The 22,044-nt window shown below is 38.6% G+C and overlaps 1 protein-coding gene across 26 annotated transcripts in view; it reads right to left on the reverse strand.

Moving 5' to 3' along the window:
- The window catches only part of ACACA (acetyl-CoA carboxylase alpha), a 321,845-nt gene that overhangs the window by 124,521 nt on the left and 175,280 nt on the right, over positions 1–22,044 (reverse strand). For 20 of the 26 annotated variants that reach the window (XM_011524701.2, NM_198834.3, XM_047435882.1 and 17 more), the window contains 5 exons: positions 16,827–16,940; positions 15,480–15,593; positions 14,000–14,089; positions 12,212–12,330; positions 955–978 (listed from right to left, as the gene is read on the reverse strand). In XM_011524701.2, the coding sequence (XP_011523003.1) occupies positions 955–978; positions 12,212–12,330; positions 14,000–14,089; positions 15,480–15,593; positions 16,827–16,940 (461 nt within the window). The remainder of the gene's footprint in view (positions 1–954; positions 979–12,211; positions 12,331–13,999; positions 14,090–15,479; positions 15,594–16,826; positions 16,941–22,044) is intronic. The other 6 variants (XM_006721853.2, XM_047435892.1, XM_047435891.1 and 3 more) reach the window with 1 other exon arrangement.

The raw sequence follows: 22,044 nt of genomic DNA on the forward strand, positions 1-22,044 counted from the left end.
CCAGGGTGGCTAAAGGCAGGCAGGAATGAGCCAAGCCCACTCACCAAGGGAAGACTACAAGACCAATTAAAAGCATTCCCTTTCCTCTCCACATCCAAATTGGGATCTAAAAGCTATGATTAGTCTTGATTACTTAATATTTTAAAGGGAGAGGGACAAAATAAATGTAAATCTATAAATAGTTCCACGTGTAGCTGATTATCTGCAAAGACCTTGCCATCAACTTACTATTGCTTTTGCATTTTGTGGATTCAATTCCAATCAGAATTGTTATCCTCTCAAACTTGCATTGTGTTGCCTTGCTTGGTTCAAGAGACAGGAGAAACCCAAAATACTAAAATATCACTTATGTTATATTAGCCTGGAAACCTCCACACAGGGTTAAACACATCAAAACTTAAATATACTTTTCCAATGTTAATCTTATTATAGGTCTGAAATAAAAACTGACTATCATAACATTTTAACACTTTAGAAAATTAACTAACAAACTGATAAAACATGAGATCAGCTATTTCTGGATCTGCACTCCTCTAAAAGGAGAAGCAAATTAGAGAAACTAAAAATTGTAAAAACTGTGAATAATTTGCCAGGATAGGAGTAACCTTAAGGGTTTCTCCTCTGAAAGCCCCAAACTACACAGAGAACTTAGCAAAAGAAGATGTTGCTAGCAAGGCCGGACATAAGGCAGATAAACCCCCTATCATACACAGCTAGATGGGAGCTTCTCCATACTGAGGCTTTTCAAGTAGTGCTTTTTGAACAGCTGAAGAAAAGCTGAAGCCATGTTTTCCAAACAGAAAGAATAATTTAGTATGTCCAAAGGGGAGCTCAGGACTCCCTAGCAGATAACACATTATCTTGTCAAGTGTTGTGGTTTTTTTTTTCCTGGTTTCACTATTCTAAGTTACATAAAGGTGCTTTTAATTGGAAAAGAAACTAAACATACGGTACCTGTTTAGCGTAGGGATGTTCCCTCTGTAATTAAACAACCACAGTTAGTTACTGATAAGTTAGTGAAAGCCATAATAAAAGAATTGTCAGAGCAGATATAGACCAGTCATGAGGAGCTCCAGTTTGGCAGCTCTGGCATTCAGCAGACATAATTAAGTGCTCATTACCCTTCAACCCCCAGGATACCTCCAAAGAGGCATGCTCCTAACCTACCTCACCACACCAGCTGTTGATGGAAAGGGTCAAAATGTATTTACCATGGATTTTAAAAATAGCTCTATTACCAAAAAAAAAAAAAAAAAAAAAAAAAATTTAGAGTAGTGGTAAAACACAGGCTGATGAAAATTAATTTAAGCTATATGATATGGTATATTAACTCAAGCTTCAATAAGAAATATAATTCTTCACAGGATTCTTAGAGACTCTTCTTTCTTGTTCCTATTACTGAAGGTGTAATAAGGAGGTCCAGGGAAGTTGATTCCACAGCTCCTCCTACTTTAATCGCTTATCCAGGATATGTGACAGACCTACAAATTCTCCACCAAAGAAAAGTATCCAGGAATCTGGGTTCCCAGCTACCTGTTCTAAGTCTTTTTAACCATACTCTTCCTCCCATGAAGGAGAGCAGGGGGGAAGGTACTGTATTCTAGGAGCTTAAAAGAACTGAAAATCATGCAGGAAAGTAATGATAAATGATTCTATGATAAGTTGTTAAAATTAATTAATACTTTGTAATTAAATGAGTTTAGGGTCATAATGATTTTAAAAATTGCTGTTAGCTTAAAAACTCTAGGCCTCTCATAAATAAAACCTTATCTAAATTTGACTACCACAGAACTTCCTTATAAAGAATGTGCCAAATCATGAAAGAAAGACCACGATAAGAATAGGAAACTACAAGGCACATCTCCCACATTCTCTTTGGCCTTTGCCACTAACTCCTTTTAAAAGATTTCCCCAACTGAAAAATAATCAAACAAATAAAAACCTTTATTTTCAATGTTAAATGGGCAAAGTTATACTTACCACCTACAATTTAGGGGCATTGTAAGGGGGCTGATCGGTTGATATCTTAACCTTCTAACATTCTTTTATCAGCATTTAATCACTGTTGGGGTTTTCTAGCACACAGAGGACTTAATGGGCAGAACATAGTGGGTGGTGCTGATGATATGTGGAAAGGAAGATAGAGGGAGGAAAACGATGCACTTTCCATGGCAGTAGAAGGAGCAGAATAGACTGAGCAGGCCATATAAATAAAAAGCTGTGACATATCACTGCACACAAACTGTATACCTCATGTGATTTGTGAGTAGAAATGCTCTTTGCATCAAACCTGTATCACAGAGTGAATTCATAAGACAGCAAGAGCAACCTCTGAGTGCAGAAACCTGAACCTTTGCTGTTTGGATTCCTTAAGCCTCTCACTCAGGAGAGTGGGTTTTATTTTTACAAGAGATCCTTAGTTATAATGCACTTGGGCCTCAACAATACAGAAAAAATAGGCACAGGTTCTAGAACAGAGGGAGGTACAGCTGAACAGAAAACTAACTGCAGATGCTAATGAGAATAGTTTTCCTTTTACGATATAAAGGATGCTAAAGAAAGGGGCCGCCTGCACAGTTTCTTAGCATGAATCTCAGTTCAGAGAGAACTCTACAACCAAAGAAACCTCAGGTTCCATTCATCCAGGTTTCTAGAGTTTAGAAACCAGTATAATCTCTCTCAACTGTTAACAAATTTCCTAATCTAATAAAATAATCTAACTGCTTCTGTAGCTACATTCTAATCCCTTTGGGAGTCTTCACAGGATGACGGCCATGTTTTCAGTAGAAAAAGGCCCGAACTGAAAAGAACACCAATAACAACAAAAAGCCAGGCTTTCTCCATCAGCAACTCTCAAGCTCCTATAGAGAGCCCCCTGCTGCTTTGTTATAAGAATTATGCACCATCTACACAGTATGGGTCAAAAAGCAAAAACTCCCAACATCTCTAATTTTTAAAGGAATGGTCCCAAATCAATCATGTAAGTAGGTTTAGAGCCAGCTTATCCACTTAGGTAGAATAAGAATCTGTGGGGATGTAAGGGAGATAAGCAAGGAAGGAAGGAAGGATAAACTGTCTATTAACAGATAAATATTTGGTCATGTCCATAATGATCATTTACATGTTTTCTTTTTTTTTTTCTTTTTCTTTTTTTAAGAAATAGAGACAAGGTCCCACTATGTTGCCCAGGCTAGTCTTGAACTCCTGAGCTCAAGTGATCCTCCTATCTCAGCCTCCCAAAGTGCTAGGATTATAGGCATGAGCCAGCAAACCTGGCCACTACAAATTTTTCATCCTATACAAGGGCTATATGGTCAATTTAAGAATATGACAAATGTGGCATATCGCACACTACTGTGATACACCAGAAAGCTAGATTAACACTCTGTACCAAAAAAAAAAAAAAGCCACACACACAACTAAGGGAAGAGATTGTATACGAGTCAAATATTCCATTTATGTAGCTGAAAATAAAATTTGCCACATTCCACTGCATACTCATCACGCAAAAATAGTCAAATTAGGCCGGGCGCAGTGGCTCATGCCTATAATTCCAGCGCTTTGGGAGACTGAGGTGGGTGGATCACTTGAGCCCAGGAGTTTAAGACCAGCCCAGGCAACATCTCCAAAATCCATCTTTACACACACACACACACACATACACACACACACGCACACAAATATAAAAGTTAGCCAGGTGTGGTGGCACACAGTACACCTGTAATCCTAGCTACTCCGAAGGTTGAGGTGGAAGGATCGCTTGAGCCAGGAGGCTGAGGTTGCAGTGAGCCAAGATCATGCCACTGTACTCCAGCCTGGGTGACAAAGTAAGTCTCAAAAAAAAAAAAAAAAAAAAAGTAAAATTGCTCAATCTTTGATAAGGCAATCAAGTATATTTTCAAATACATAAATGGGACATAAATTCACTTCCTATCTGCTGTTTGGGCTATTCAAAACACTTATTATAATGAATCTTCATTTACAACATTTGATGAATATTAGAACCACTTTCTTTCTAGTAGATTAGCTCCATTTTACAGATGTGATAACCAAAAAACCAAAGAGGATGCTTTCCAATGACATTGTTCAATATGGTGTCATAAACCACAATCTAGACTTGGCATTTTCTTATCTCCGCTCTCCAAGTTAGCATTCCACATCAGTATAGATTTTAGAGAAAGACAAGAGAAATCCTGTGAATTCTGAGGTTCCCGGCACTAAGTCACCTCTGATTTTATTGCTCTGCCTGCCCAGAATGGCTGGAGAGCTTGCTTCAATATGAATGCAAAGTCAGAGTTGCCGCTGCTAGCTGAACCCTCTTTAATTTAAAGAACACTGACTTCTCTGGCAGCCACAAGTTCTGTGAGCCTTTTTACCATCCCTTCCAGCTGAATTTCATTTGGCTTGATTCTAGCTGGCCTTATATAAATCTTTTATCATATAAAAATGCTCCTGATTCTTTTGCTTCCTAACTTGAAGAAGAAAAAAAAAAGAGCCCATATGAAAATGATGGGGATGCATGCAAACAAGCAGTGGTTACATCAAGCTGTGACTGAAAGCCAGTATAGGGCAACTCTTTTGAAATCAGGCAGCAAAGCAGAATCAGAAGAGGTCGGCTGAATAACCTACTAGCAGCCACTAACAGCAGTACCATAGGAGAAAGAGCAATTTGACTGGCTGTGACCAGTGGTGGTCTCTTTGCATGACTATATTTCTGCAGGAAAATCCAAATCAAGAACTGTAAAACACATCTGAACCACGTATTTCTACTGGCATCTCCCCCACCACCTCCTTGCAGTTCAGATGCCCTGAGTCTACTGCAGAGCTTTAGTTTACAATAAAATGATCATTACTTCATTCATTTGCAGCCCCTCCAAAGCCCCTTCTTTGCTCTGCTGGAAGGTTTTGCTCTTTCTGAAACAAGTACATCAACAGAGCTACAGCATATTACTGTTGCCTGCTATATAATTAGCTACGAACCCACAGCACAAAACTACGGGGATTTACAGGTGTCCTGGATTCTGCTTTTCCTTCCCCCAGGACTCAGCTAGTCTTCCTTGACAAGAAGGGACCTTGGGCTACCCTAATGATATATTGAGAGTTTTAAACTCAACTCTCCAATCTTACAAGTCTAGAGTGCCAAAATAACACAGCAGAGACTAGAAGCTGAGCCACGGATACAGGAAAGCACTTTGGTAAGCACTTAAACCTGCTGAGAATCTTCTCTTCTGCCAGATACTTGCATCTTATCAGCAGACTACCCTGAATGAAGGAAGCAAGCACTGTAAGATTTCATTTATTTATAGCTCATTCTGGCTTGCTAACTACAACAAGTGCTCCCACTGCAGAAACAATGCTACAAGTTGGATGACTTCTGAGTATCTCAGTACTATCCAAAGAAAGGTCTAATCTCTGGGTGTTAAAGATTATCAGAATTCTTGAGAATGGCAGTTGGCTACCAATTAGTCACATGGAAGGCTCCTGATTTCTAACCTTCCTTATGAATAAAAAGTCCAGAGGCCGCCCACTGACAGCTGAACATTGAGGATGGATGCCAAGCAGCCTAAACTCAGCCATGACCAAAACACATGCTATCAGGGGAAAACACAGCCGACCTCTTCTGGAGGTAAGACTTGAGAAAAGGGAAGTATTTGAATTAAAACATTATAACACAGAAGGCCAAATTCACAAGTAGCAAACAGCAGAGAAGGTACAGTGGAATCCGACTTAACTAAAGCATGGATTTCCATCTATGAAATAGGTGGAAATAAACACCAATAGGTCCTCACCCATTATATATGTACAGAAACGTACAACAAAGTACACCTCCATCTCCTGCATCAAATGTGATGCTTCTTATTTGAATCACAGAGTAAAGGTTAAAAAGATTACTCATGTTCACTAGCGTATATTAATTATAAAAATCATTTGGAGTTTTAAATTGTGTACTCCCAGACTGTCATATTATATTATACAGAGTCATATGCATAGGCACAATTTATGGGATAATATACTTTACATATGTTTGTATAAATATAACTATATTTTAAAAGATCAAATACTAGTTGACTGAAGAATTTGTTTCCAGATTATCCTGAGGCACTTAATATGCCCAAAGCTTAGTGAAATCCTGAAGGTCAAATGAGTCAATGAATTGTGCAAAATACAGACATTCAGGATGATGCTTCAGTGTAACAAGCTTTCCCATCACCAGCACCAGTGAGTGATACTTAAGTTTCTGAATAGGAAAAAAGACAGACATATACAAAACTTGGGCTCTAAACCCTAAGACTCACTAGGGAAAGAAGGAGAAAAAGGAATATTCAATGATATAGTTTGAACTCCAGGGTTAATTCATGTAAAACTCACTAAAGGGCTGGGCTCACAGAATCTTCAATGAGAGAATTAGGTTCTAGAAGTCTGCACAATAATAAAATGCTCCCTTAGTATAGACTAGTTGCCCTGAATATTCCTGCACCATGAAAACAACTTGAGATAGTCACTTCTCCTTCAAGAACACAAGTCAGTTAAAAAATGACACATTAAAAAAAAAAAATCCCCTCCCCTCAAAAAGAATCACACAGCCTTTAATGCTAAGAAGGTAAAAAAGGAAACACACACACACACACACACACACACACACACAACATACACATGTTACATATACATACACACACGTGTGTGTGTGTGTGTGTGTATATATATATATATATATGTTTCTAACTATGCTTAAATCAGAAAAATCTCTTTAGCTGCTGTTCAAGTGAAGGAAATTTTAGAAGTAAAGGGTAAATCCAGACCAGAAGCTTGCCTGAGTGAAGTTCTAATAACTGGATCCTCTGCTGAATAAGACCTACAGATGCCAAATAAGTTGGAACTACAGTCCCCAGAAAAAAAATTTAGAAGTCTTGGGTAGAAGATCAAAAAGGAGATAATATACCTCGACTGATGCACACCTAGCAAGAAATGAAATAGGAAGTCACACAGATTAGGAATAAACTATTTAGTAATCTGCTTTTTAAAAAAATTATTGGAGTTTTTTTTTCTAAAAATAGTCGAATTATACCAAAAAACAGAGTAACCGCAACATGTCAAACAATGCAAAGTCCTATGATGAATTAAAAGAAAAACAAAAATGTACCAAATATGTTACTACAAAGCAACTGTTCAAGTGTGCTAAAAACAGGTGTCTTCTCCCTTTTCAGAGGCTCCCCTAGTCATTTGCAATATATTTTGCCTACTTCTCTAAAAATCAAAATAGGTCCTAATAAGTAAGATACAGGTCTTCAATCCCAACAGCAACTAAGGGATTTTCCTGAATAAAAAAAAAAACAAAAACAAAAACAAAAAAAACTCTGCTGCCAGTTTGCAGACAGAGTGCCGTGTTTCACCCCAACCTATGGAGGCTAAATCACAGTCAAAAACAAACTGCGTGACTGGGAATTATAGTAAGAGGAGTTAAAAACAAGGGCAGGTGCAGTGGCTCACGCTCGTAATCCCAGCACTTTGGGAGGCCGAGGCAGGTAGATCACCTGAGTTAGGGTGTTGGAGACAGCCTGACCAACACGGAGAAACCCCGTCTTTACTAAAAAATCAAAATTAGTGGGGTGTGGTGGTGTACGCCTGTAATCCCAGCTAATCGGGAGGCTGAGGCAGGAGAATCGCTTGAACCTGGAAGGCAGAGGTTGTGTTGAGCCAAGATAGCACCACTGCACTCCAGCCTGGGCAACAAGAGCAAACTCTATCTCAAAAAAAAAAAAAAAAAAAAAAAAAGCTGCAGGAATGGAATTCCATACACAATGAGATTGCAGTCTTGCTTTGATATTACAGCTTACTAAGACACTTCTAACGATGTGCTGGACAAATTTTGTCTACTTCAAAAACACCTAGCTAGGAATGTGAAGACCAAGTGCAAGGAAAGAAAACACAAAAAATTGGTTAAACAAAATACTGTGGCTCATGCCTGTAATCCCAGCACTTTGGGAGGCCGAGGTGGATGGATCACAAGGTAATGAGATCGAGACCATCCTGGCTAACACGGTGAAACCCCGTCTCTATTAAAAATACAAAAAATTAGCCGGGCATCATGGCAGGCACCTGTAGTCCCAGCTACTCGGGAGGCTGAGGCAGGATAATCGCTTGAACCCAGGAGGCAGAGCTTGCAGTGAGCCCAGATCGCGCCACTGCACTCCAGCCTGGGCGACAGAGTGAGACTCCATCTCAAAAAAAAAAAAAAAAAAAAAAAAAAAAAACAACCTGTTTTCTCCCCCAATAATTTTTGGTCTGTACTAGGTATGGTGGCACATGCCTGTAGTCCCAGCTACTTGAGAGGCTGAAGCAGGAGAATTATTTGAGACCAGCCTGGGAACATGACAAGACCCCATCTCTATGGGAGGGGAAAAAAAAATTGGTTTGTTAACCTCAATTGGGAAAAATATAAAATTCTGTTTTATATTGATAAGTAAAATATGTATGATTCATATACCTTTTCTTTATTCTCACTGATTTTTAAAGCATGCATAAAATATTGTAGTGTAACATCTATAATATCAACTGTGAATAATTCCTGTAACTACTAAGAATAAGCAACATAAGAATAATAATTTTTCCTCTCTCCACGGGCACTACCAGTAACAAAAAAAAAAAAAAAAAAAAGAGGGCTCAGTGTGACTGTCCTAATTAATTTTTGGTCTAAGTTGAACTGTCTAATATAGCAGCCATTAGCCACATGCAGCTAGGGTAGTACTTGAAATACGGCTAGTTTATATTGAGATATGCTGTAAGTATAGAATACGTGCTAAATTTCAAAGATACAGTATGAATAAAAGAAAAAATATTAACAATTGTTATTACATATTGAAATGGTATTTTGGATATAATGGGTTAAATAAGATGTTATTTGAATTAATTTTATCTGTTTCTTTTTACTTTTAAATGTGGCCAATAGAAAATTTTAAATAGCATGTAGCTTGTATTATATTTCTATTTGACAGTACTGGTTTAGAAGTAGTAACTGTCAATTATAGCTGTTCATCAGAGTTCAGAGGAGCTTTTCAAAGTGGTCACCTGGACTCTAATCCAAAATGAATCGGGTCTTGAAAGTCAGGACTCCAATATGTGTATTTTCAAATTACCCCTCAGATAATTTTGAGAATCATTAATCTAGAGGTTAGTGGACATAACTGAGCCTTACAGGACAGAGTGGAACAAATATTGGTAGCCCTCTGTAACTTCTTTCTGTAGAATGAGAAACAATATGCTTTTCGCCTGCTTGATCAAAACAATAACATACAAAAAAAGTACTGGAGTTAGAAAAAGAAGAAAAGTACTTGGCTCAAAACTAGCTAAATCTAAAAGAGCTTAGATTTCTGTTTAAGATGAGCAGGCCTATTGTATAATAAAGACTTTGGCCATTGTCTCTGGTTCCTGGAAGAGAGACTAAATCCTTATAATTTCCCAAGTAATAGGAGTGTCATTGTTATTTTAAGTCCCTTGGATCACACCTGAGTTTATGCTAAGAGATGAGATGACTCAGGAGGGGAGCTGGTCACTAGAAAGACCAACTGTGTGATTAGAAGGTTGAGGGCTTTCAGCCAGCCAGACCTCTGGGAGGGGAGATTGAGTTTAATCACGTAGGCTATGATTTAATCAAGCATGCCTACGTAATGAAGCCCTGATTTTAAAATACTCTGGACACTGAAGGTCAATGGAGCTTCTTGGTTGGTGAACACATGGATGTGCTGAGAGGGTTGATAAACTCTGATTCCACAGGGAACAAACTGGGAAGCTCTGTGTTTGAGACCATCCCACACTTCACCCTAAGCGTCTCGTGCTTTTGGCTGATCCTGACAATAAAACTGTAGTGCTTGAACTCTGTGAGTTGTTCTGAGGGAATTATCAAACTGAGAAAATTGAGGGGACCCTCAAATTTGTAGCCAGTTGGTCAGAAGTGCAAGTGGCCAGGGGACCCCACTTATGGCCCCATCTGAAGTAGGGACAATTTGGTGGTGGACTGAGCCCTTAGCCTGTGGCATCTGATCTAACTTCAGATGGCTAGTGTCAGAATTCAATTGCAGTACACCAGCTGGTGTCATAATAAGGTTATAAATCCAAATTTTAACAAAAACATTTGGGGGAAAAATATATTTTATATATATAAAAAACATATTTTTCATATATATTATATATATAAAAAACACATTTTTCATATATTATAATATATTATGTATATAATCTTATAAAACTAAATTCAAGTAGTAAATCTGCAATAACTGAACAAGCTATACTCTGAAACTGAATACATCATTTTATGATCAAACCTGATCATTTGATCCTAAACAGAACTTTAGATCAAAAAAAAAATTAAAGAAATTTTAACATTTTTCTGGTTTTCACAAAGATGATTTTATTTTTCCTTTTTATTTTGCAATTATCTTCACCTTCACAGTTATACCAATAATAATGATGACAATAACAATAATAATCCAGCAGGTTTAGAATTACACTGACAACCAAGGGAGACTTCAGGGAGATTACAGGATTACTGTTATGTTCAAGTCTGATCTTTATCTACAGGCATGTCCAGATGTTGGGAGGGACTGGCATATAAGTTTTGTAACCACATTGAACTAACCAAGATTCATACTCTTGACATAGAAAGGTGAATAAGATTTCTTAACAAAGCAGTCAAGAAGAATTTCTCTCATTTTTCAGCCAACATTCCCTCACCAAACTGGACATATCCTCAAATAAAAAAAAGTAGGACAGGGAGAACAATTAAGAGAGACAAGGAGAGTGATGAGGAGGGAAGGAAATCAGAAGCAGCCCTGCAGCCTGACTACAAATCACTGCCCAAAGGGAAGCAGGAAAAAGCAGGAAGAAAAGGAGAACTGCCCTGAGAATTACAAAGAGCATTAAGTATAGCGTGTAGTTCTCTACAATTATTCAAGGAATGCAGGAAAAGAAAGAAGACTGAGTGCTGTGCCTATGTGTGCCATGAGTACTTCGCCGCTCACTGAAGGACAACCATTCGTTTCTAGAAAATGAGATTCTGAAATCCATGGAGGCAAAAATGTACCGAGAGATGCTTGCTAAATCAAGGATATATGCTTTTCTCTGCCAGCCATAAGGTATTTTTGAGGTAGAGAAGTGAAAGGATATTCTGAGACAAAGAAGAGAGGTACTTTTTCTGAAGATGCCTCTGCTCATCTGCCGACCTCTGCTGGATCAACAGTGGCATCCAGTGGCCAAAAGTCTCAGCACAGACTTCTTTGTCTCCAGAAAGGGTTTCTATTGCTTTGGGTGAAGTGGCAATTTAGAACAAAACCATTTCTGGTGTCTATAACTAAGGTTCCCAAAAGACACAGTACTTTGTAATACCAAGTGAAGAACCAAAGGCCATAAAGAAGAAATGGAGAGGGGCAGGTTAAGATTGGCTGTGGTATTTATATTTCCTGTGGTATTACTAAAAAGAATGAAAGTACAGGAGGGGATGAACCTATGTGTGGGTGGAATTCCTAGATTTTCATTGCCTTAGAATACTTTTTAAAAGATAGTCTATAAGATAAAGTATTTTCATTTTAAAACAAAAGCAATTCTGAAACAAAAACGTCCATATGTACATTTTATTTTTTAAAAGACAGGAAGGGACAAATAATGTAATTATCATGGCTTAATTCAGTAATTTATTTGAGATTAAGAAGTTTGGTTCTGCAATGTAATTTTTAAAAACTGATTGAATTTCAACTGCTAAATTCAGGTGGTCTGTTTTAGGGAGATAATGAAACTGGCTCAGATATAACCTCAACCCATAGCAAACATATAGAAAAGAAAAGCATTCCACCCAAAGTATTTTTTTGGTCTAATTGCTGATTTAAATTGTTAAAAAGAGTGATTTTTCTGGCAAAGTTCTAGCAAGTAAAATGCTAGTAAATTCTTTCTAATTTTTTAAAAAAGAAACTATTTCCTCAGTGACATAATACAAGCAAGAATGAATGGAGTAATCCTAAACTTTCATCTTACTTAGACCATAATTTTTCTCTTTAGATCAAAGAAGTGGGCACCAAAAGGCTCTTCTCTTTTGGTTCATATTGTTCATTTTTTGCCCTACATTTCTAACTAAAAAAACATGGAATTGTCATACACATTACTCCCCTTGATTCTCATGGTATACCTCTGGCTGGCTCGGGTGCACATACCACCTCAAACTCACCTGTTTGGATGAGATGTGGGCAGCATGAACTGGAATTCCACCACACAGGTGTTGTCCTTAAGCTGGCGGTGTTGTACGCTGTTAAGTTCATAGGCAATATAAGCCCTTCGAACATACACCTGGTTCAAAAGAAACCCTCAGTAAATAAATTTCAAAAACAGAAATTAAGAAAATAGCCCAGAAAAAGAGTCTTGAAACGAGGTATCTGAGGCAGAAGGTGCTCTGTGGGGAGAGAAGTCCCAAGGCCCTATGTATACGTACATATATTGCTTTAATTAATAAAGCTGGAGTCTTAATACTATAACCATGACTACTAATGAAAACAAAACTAGGCTGCCTCTGCTGGACACCTATGTGCACTGTAAACCTTCTTCCACACTAACCTAAACCCTGGAGAAGGTTTAATCTTTAGCAAAAGACAGCATATAGAACTACAACTATTAATCTATTAAGCATGATCATTTCAACAGAAGATTAAGCAGTGAGAAAAATGAGAGGTGCTGATTTTGAGCCACTTACAGAGTGAAAATAGAAGACACAAGCAATCACAGTACAGTTCAACTCTTTTACTATCTCATGTCTTTGTCTTGCGTCCTCCCCGACTTCCCCACCCGCTCAAAATCAGTTTTCAGCAAACTCTGATCAAAAGCAGTAAGGCATAAGCAGTAAGACATAATTTGACATATAATATCTCAAATACTTGAACTTGACTCAAGAGTTAAAGGAACAGCAATGAAATAAAATAAAAATAAATATAAATTAAAAAAAGAAACAGCAATAGGCTACATCTCTGCAAAAACTGTCAGTCCAACCTCACACATTTCACAGCAAATTTGCCATGCACATAAAATGCTACCTGAGATTCTATGGCACGGGAAGTATATAAGGAAGCTTCTCATTAAATGACATAAAAACACTACAAAACACTTAAATGTTTTAAAACTTTTGGCATTTACTGAGTAGGATAATTTACACTCTACCACAGAGTACAAATAAAAAGTAACACAAAAGAGCTGGCAACAGACTACCGTGATGTTACATTACATAAAATCATCTAAAACACTCTTTTTCCCCATCTTCAAAAAACAACTATTTGGCAACTTTACAGTGGTATTCAGGGCCTGCAATTTTTGTGCTTAATGAGGTAGTGTGCTGTAGCGGAAACAGAAGTCTTTGGAGTCAGATTAGCCTGAGTTCAAATGCAAACTCTTCCACTTATTATCTATGTGATTTTGGACAAATCACTTAACCTCTCAGAGTCTCACTTTCTTCTTACTTCCTAAAGTAACTGTAGGATTAAATGAGAAAGATAAAATACCTAAAACACAGTTCATTAAATGCTATTACTTTCTTTCCTTTGAGGAAGTATTTCATAAGAGCTGCTTGACAATCCAAACATAACTAAAATCAATTTTAATTTGGCCCAAATCACACAATGGTAAGATGACACATGCTCTGATCAGCCATATATTTTCGCTTTTTGTGTTACAAGGAATCCTAATTCATTATGAAATGGGAGAATTCAAATACCTGGAAAATAGAAACTACTGAAAAATGCTGGCAGCTATTTTCCTGTGATTGGAACCTAGAAGCTGGTGATGAGTTCAGATGAAACACTTGAGTAAAGTATCTGAGTAAGCACATACTGTTTCAGAGGAAAAGAGACTAACTACCCTTAAGAACCAACCTTAAGGCCAGAGAACTAGAACTGACATGGCAGCCAAATAGACAGAAGAAACCAGCTAGAAACAAAGGAAAAGGTCATGTCCCATTACCATAAATACTTACCTCCAGAGCTGCCATCCTCACTACTTGGTTGCTGTGATAGAAGAAGTTTGGTAGGACATCAAAAATAGATGTTTCTGATAGGATGAGTTTCTAGAAGATACAAAGACAGGCTTAAGCCTTACATCAAAAGGAGAACAATTTCAATGGACACTATTTGGCATTTGAAGCATTTAGTGAAACCTAAGAATTTTGTCTCTGAATGCCATAATCTCTCTGTGCCTCAGCTTCCTGAGCTACAAAATGGAGAAAATAAAATACCTATCCTCATAGGGCTGTTGTATTATATGAGTAAATACATGTAAAATTCTTGGAATACTGAATTAACAATGCATTATTTGTATGCTAATATAAGTGTTTATGACTGTTATTCTTTTCTGACATTTATCTGAACTCTCTAAATATTGTCTTCACCAGGCATGGTGGCTCACACCTATAATCCCAGCACTTTAGGAGGCCAAGGCGGGCAGATCACTTGAGGTCAGGAGTTCGAGACCAGCCTGGCCAACATGGCGAAACCCTGTCTCTGTTAAAAATACAAAAATTAGCCAGGCGTGGTAGTGAGTGCCTGTAATCCCAGCTACTCTGGAGGCCAAGGCACAAGAATCGCTTGAACTCAGGAGGTGGAGGTTGCAGTGAGCCGAGATTATGCCACTGCACTCCAGCCTGGGCAACAGAGTGAGACTCTGTCTCAGAAAAATTAAATAAAATAAATATTGTCTCAATACTCCACTATGGTAAACCCTAGATTTGAACTCCAGTTGAAACCCTAGATTTCAGCTATTAACCAAATAAGAAAAAACATCCTTTTTTCCCCTCTAGATTCCCCAGGAAGAAATGTTACAGAAAGTCTAAAGATTCCCCTGGGCCAGATATAACAATGGTATCCTTGTTTCCAGGTAGAAAAATATAAAGTCATTCCTGAGAAGATAACATTTAAAAAATAATTGCGGTGGTCCTTCTGATTAGTAGTAAAATTAGACAATAATCTCTTAAAAACGGGCTTCTTATAAAGCTTAATAATAAGCATTAACATAAAATTAAAATTAAATGATACTTAAATAGCTTTGTCTCCAGAAGAGTAACAACTACCTATGTATACATCTGATTCAAATATCATAAATCATCAGAGAAATGTGTGTGTGTATATATATATATATATCAGAAATCAACCAGCCTTGTCATTTAATTCTGGCCTAGAATACTTTCTAGGTAAAGTACAAAGATAAAGACTTCAATAGGACACTTCTATCAAGGCAGGCCTATTTGATTTTTAAGCTAAACCACAATTCTAACAGCATTTGTATGAAAAAAATATTCATAAGTATAAATCATTTTAGAAAGTCAAGATATGAAACTCCATTATATGGAAAATCAAAATTAATTAATTAAGTGACTAATTACTTAAACTATGCTTGAGAATAAAGGAGGTAAGAGTCCAGATAGGCAGGAAAGGGTTATATATATATATATATATATATACCTGCAGGTTCTCAATGCAAAATTGATGTCCATACATGTCAATAGCTGATAGGAAGATAGACTCTACTTGGTTATGGCGAAGCTCATATGATGGCAAATGGGAGGCAATAAGAACCTAGAGTGAGAACAAAATAGGAGGCACACATTCCTCGGAGTGATTATTCTAGACTCCTATTAGGCAGCTCTGATACAAAAGCAATAAATATAAATCTGTAAGTGCAGGCATCACAGATAAAACAGAGACCAAGTAAAACAACTTCTAGGTCCTGTAACATAAAGCCAGTGCCACCAAATACTGAATCTCAGTTGACTCTCACCATGATTTGCATTGTGGCCAATTTCCCATGGTGGGTAGGGGGAAGGGAGAGAAAACAGCTTCGATCAAGTTCCATCAGTGTATGTGATTTACCATTGCAAAGCTGCTGGTCCTAGGGACTGCATGACTAGCTGTTAATTGGGAATCAGGTCTGGCAGGGAGCAGCTGTGGGAAAGGTAGATGCAGCAGAGCTAGCCTTTTACAACTCTGAAGTAGAAAGAAAGACTAGGGAAAGCTGCTTTGACAGCCCCAGGTACTCGGCACCAAGGAGAACGCGTCAGGAAGTAACACCAGTGTGTGTGAGGGGCAGAGAGAGTGAAAGCAGTGTCACAAACAAACAAACAGTGACACGGTAGGATCTGAATACCCTCAGCAGGTCACTGAGAGGTTCAATAGCTTTGAGTAGTTCAGTGACATGGATACAATTGTAGAGAAAGCAGAAGGTCACTGAACAGCTTCAAATGCTGCTTCCTTGTCAATGCCCATGCACTGAAACACAAAGGGAGTGCCAACTCTTGGCTTCCCTGCTGAAACCTTTTGGAATGGAAATGAAGACTGCAGGGTGAAACTAACTGGACTTCTCTGGGGTTGTTCTGATTGCTGCCGCCTAAGATTCATTTCATTATCTTTCTGCTTTCCACACTTGATTATTTCCTGTACACTTGGAAGTTTTCATCTGCTTCTAAGCTCCCTTTGGGAAGTAAGAAATACTGAGTCTATTTTCTTCCCTGAGTGTCCTTTCCTCCACCTGACCCTGGTTTACTATCACAGGGCTACTAGGGAGGGAAGGGAATGATACCAGGATTTTTTAATGGGGAAAGGGCTTCTATTTTAAAGAGACGCAGCACTAATCTTTTCCTTTCTCTTTAAAAAAACATACCACATGAAAACATTTGTTCTGAGGAAAACGTGACACATATATAGAAAATAACATGTTCTTTGTAAAGTGATTAAGCAAAAGTTCATTGTGTCTAGGACTGCCTGATCTATGAAAGCCATCCCTCCTTTAAGAAAACCAACAAATGTCCTTACCTGGCGTGCTCGAAGTGCTACTTTGGCATTGGTGGTCTTACTGAGTTGAGTTAGCTCTGTGAGAATATTCAGCAGCTCATCAGTGAGAGTAGGGTCCCGGCCACACAACTGATCCTAATTGTTAATGTAAAAAAGAACATAGATAGTCATATTAAAAAGAACAGGTGGATAGGATTTTAAAATAGAGAAAAGGAATGAAAACAAAGTAAACCCAGCTGGATTAATAAGAAAATGCAAACTTCCTATTATTTTTACCCTAAACAATGTGGTAAAGAAGATCCCAGAGGAAGTTTGGCTAAGGAGAGGCAGCCCAAATCCCTCATTCAAAATTCCTAATGTATTTCCTTATAAATCAACACTATACTTTTAACACGCAGAAGGAATCATTAGAGACCACTAAAAGGGGCCAAGGGGATTCTGAGTAAGAAATAATAGATATGTCTCAAAGTTTTAAGAGAAAGTTTTAAATAACAGGGACTAAAGGCCTTCCTGTTTCCCCTCCCACTTTTGGAAAGAAGGTAGATATAAGGCAAAAAGAACCACCCCAGTGGTTTTCATCTCATAAACCAAATTTTCAGCAACCCAGGAGGATGCAAAACAGAAACACAAGAATAAATTATTTATTTATAAACACACACTAACTAAAACACCATCTCATATGCTGGCAATTCTGCATCCCAAATCATTTCTCTTCTTCCTGTACCAAGAATCATTCCATGATACTTAAACATGTGAATCCTTAGCTGAATTAGAGGAAAAAAACAGGCTCCTACTATAGAATCCATGGTTTATTCAGTATTGGGTCCTTCCTCTTCTAAGAAGTAAAAAATGTTAAGAAAATAATCTCAATCATATTCTGAGAGAAATATCCTTACTGGAGTCCAGTGGAATATCAGTTTATTCCCTAAATTCATCCATTATCCATGCAATTTCCATCTAAGCTGAAAAAAATGTAAATGCAGTTTTTATAAATGTCTGTCCTTTTTGAACTTTACAGACCTACTGGTAGTAGTAATTATTAACACCACACCATATAAAATATATCCATTTAGATATCACTACCTCTACTTGGAGTTTTAAATAATTGCCTTGGCTGGGCAGGGTGGCTCACACCTGTAACCCCAGCATTTTGGGAGGTCAAGACAGGAGGACTGCTTGAGCCCAGGAGTTCAAGACCAGCCTAGGCAACATGGTGAGACCCCATCTCTAAAAATAAAAAATAAAAATAAATAAAACAAAAAATTTTTAGGCCGGGCGCTGTGGCTCACGCCTGTAATCTCAGCACTTTGGGAGGCCGAGGCGTGCGGATCACGAGGTCGAGACCATCCTGGCTAACACGGTGAAACCCCGTCTCTACTAAAAATACAAAAAATTAGCCGGGCGTGGTGGCGGGCGCCTGTAGTCCCAGCTACTCAGGAGGCTGAGGCAGGAGAATGGCGTGAACCCGGGAGGTGGACCTTGCAGTGAGCCGAGATCGTGCCACTGCACTCCAGCCTGGGCAACAGAGCGAGACTCTGTCTCAAAAAAAAAAAAAAAAAAATTTTTTTTAAAGAATTGCCTTTGTATTTTAATAAATATTTATTCTCCCCCTACTACCAATGGGACATGAAAGAAGACCCAAAGGGCCTGCTTGTTGCTGCATGTTAATCTCCCCACTTTGATTATCAGCCCTTTTCTTGAAGAATTTCTATTTCATACTTAACCTTCCCCATCTCAGGGATACTCTTTATAGACCTTTATCACAGAAGTATAAATAAATGCAGTATAAATAAAAGACATGCTTTTTCCAAAACCCCTACCTTCCACATCACAAGGTAAATACTTTTGAAATACTCAATGCCATTATGCTGGGAAGGTTTCTCAAACCCTTTTTTTTTTTTTTTTTTTTTTTTGAGAAAATGATATAATGAGATTCTGGTTCCCTAATCCACCAATCAGAGGTCTGCTCTGACTGTCCAGAGTCATAAAACATATGATGGGAGTTATAATTAAGGAAGTGCAAGTACTGTTTTCACCCATTTCACCCAGATAATTCACTCATCTGAGTGAGAAAAATAAAAGCTGCTATTAAAGTGAAGATAAACCCAGAGGTTCTATTGAACAGGTAGCACAGATTAGAGAATCTGTTCTACCTATCCTAGGCATAAAAGCAAACAGGAGAAAGGAAATGCAAGTAAGTCTCACCTTTTGCTGAGAACTAATGAGCAAAACAGAATTTCAAAGGAATATGTAAAACTACCAGAAACAGGACCATAGAAAGACAGAAGGAAAGAATTGACAGATAACAGTAGGTAGGGAAACCAACATAATTTTTTCCTACCTAAGTCCCTTTCCTAATGTTCTTAATAGAGCAAACATACTCCTTTCCGAAGTACTTACTAAAAGCATTGGAATGACCCACCAAAATGCCTAAAAACATAAGAAGTCTACTGGGTAATGCCACAACTCGACTCCTCTGTACAAAGCCAGACTAAAGTCTCAACATTAAAAACAAAAGCCAACATGACAAAATAAGAGCACTAGGGCCAGGCGCGGTGGCTCACGCCTGTAATCCCAGCACTTTGGGAGGCCGAGGAGGGCGGATCACGAGGTCAGGAGATCGAGACCATCCTGGAGAACACGGTTGAAACCCGTCTCTACTAAAAATACAAAAAAATTAGCCGGGCGTGGTGGCGGGTGCCTGTAGTCCCAACTACTCGGGAGGCTGAGGCAGGAGAATGGTGTGAACCCGGGAGGCAGAGCTTGCAGTGAGCCGAGATCCGGCCACTGCACTCCAGCCTGGGCAACAGAGCGAGACTCCGTCTCAAAAAAAAAAAAAAAGCACACTAATCACCTCCGCAACCTGTATCAGATTTGATATAGAATGCATTCCCTTTAAAAGAAATATAGGTTTACCTTTACAGATGAAACTAAAATTTTTAAAAATGGAGTTATCCTCTTGCATAGTTACAGATCATGTTTTGTTCTGTTTTGTTTTGTTTTTAAGACGGAGTCTCTCTCTGTTCCGCAGGCTGGAGTGCAGTGGCGCAATCTTGGCTCACTGCAAGCTCCGCCTCCGGGGTTCACGCCATTCTCCTGCCTCAGCCTCCCGAGTACCTGGGACTACAGGCGCCCGCCACCATGCCCGGCTAATTTTTTGTATTTTTAGTAGAGATGGGGTTTCACCGTGTTAACCAGGATGGTATCGATCTCCTGACCTTGTGATCCACCCGCCTCGGCCTCCCAAAGTGCTGGGATTACAGGTGTGAGCCACTGCGCCTGGCAGTTACAGATCATGCTCTAACTTAAAAGACAAAACAAAGCAAAACACGTAAAAGCACTTTTTTTTAAAAACCACTTTTTTATTTTATCTTTCCACTATGAGAGAAAGGCAGTAAAAAAGGGCTTCAGGAAAAAACAACAGTATGTGTAAGAAAAGCGAACTATGGAGATTAGAAAAAATAAATGTGGGCCAGGCGTGGTGGCTCACGCCTGTAATCCCAGCACTTTGGGAGGCCGAGGTGGGCGGATTACCTGAGGTCAGTTCGAGACCAGCCTGACCAACATGATGAAACCCCATCTCTACTAAATACAAAAAAATTAGCTGGGCGTGGTGGCGCATGCCTGTAATCCCAGCTACTTGGGAGGCTGAGGCCAGAGAATTGCCCAGGAGGTGGAGGTTGCAGTGAGCTGAGATTGCGTCATTGCACTACAGCCTGGGCAACAAGAGTGAAATTCCGTCTCAAAATAAAATAAAATAAAATAAAATTAAAATAAATAAATAAGGCCGGGTGCGGTGGCTCACACCTGTAATCCCAGCATTTTGGGAGGCCAAGGTAGGTGGATCACCTGAGGTCAGGCGTTCGAGACCAGCCTGACCAACATGGAGAAACCCCGTCTCTACTAAAAATACAAAATTAACTGGGTGCAGTGGTGCATGCCTGTTATCCCAGCTACTCAGGAGGCTGAGGCAGGAGAATCGCTTGAACCCAGGAGGCAGAGGTTGTGGTGAGCCAAGATCGCGCCGTTGCACTCCAGCCTGGGCAATAAGAGCGAAACTCCATCTCAAAAAATAAATAAATAAATAAATAAATAAATAAATAAATAAATAAATAAATGTGAAGTAATTATCAAACAGTATGAATTAACCACTATTTTCGTTAGTCTATTCTGACTTGGAAGTTTTCCATTCAAATATTTTCTCCACTGTCATCATTAATACTTAGAAAAAAATTGGCAACAGAAAATTATGTATAGAATAACTTCCTCAACCCTGTCTTGTCCCTGACCTAGACACAGCATTCAGGTTCTGCAAGAAAACATCAGGGTTTTTCAGAACCACCCATCTTAAGATGCCAACTAACATCCAACAGGAAGTTTATTACCCTCTGTCCTAGAGACAGGCTTCTTTTGGGCAACTGGACAAACAAACATCACCATCTAATCCTGGTGAACATTTTGTAAGGATACCTTTAGATGGTGTCTAGGTCAGCAGATGTGTTTAGTCAACATAAAAAGGTTTGTTTAAAGAGCCAACCTGCTGATTTTGGGATTACAGGTCACTTGCAAAAATCTGGCATCCCAATCCACCAACCAAAGGTCTGTTCCAACTGTCCAGAGTCATAAAACGAAGTGAAAATTATTATTCAGCCATACTGGTACAAAACAGTTATTTCTTGCTTTTACTTTTGACCTAGATGGTAGCTAACTATAGGAAATAGTTCGAATTTGCAGAAATACAACAAACATGATAAAACGTTAAACCCATAGCCAAGGCTGGGCACAGTGGCTCATGCCTGTAGTCCCAGCATTTTGGGAGGCCAAGATGGGAGGCCGAGACCGTTTGAGCACAGAAGTTTGACAGCAGCCCAGGCAACACAGTGAGACCACATCTTTAATTTAAAAAAAAAAAAAAAAAGCATAGCCAAAGTTACACAGTTGACTGACAGAAGAAACCAACATAGTCCAACTTGATCTTAGAAGGCAATTCAAAACGAAAAGAATGTGACCTTATGTGTAATGCCCTCAAGACATTAACTATTATTTAGCCGGGTAGGCACTAAACCCAGGATCAGCAATGAACTGGTAGCTTCTTCTAGTCATATCTGCACTTTTTGATATCCCAAAAAATGTCATAGGGTAAGTTTAACAATTGTTAATATCACCCTTATTCAGTGAATGTGGAATCACTGAGAAAGACTTTTCTTCTTTATTTACATATTGGACAAAATTATTTGCA

This window comes from Homo sapiens, chromosome 17, assembly GCF_000001405.40.
Source record: "Homo sapiens chromosome 17, GRCh38.p14 Primary Assembly".
In the NCBI taxonomy this organism is placed as follows: domain Eukaryota; kingdom Metazoa; phylum Chordata; class Mammalia; order Primates; family Hominidae; genus Homo; species Homo sapiens.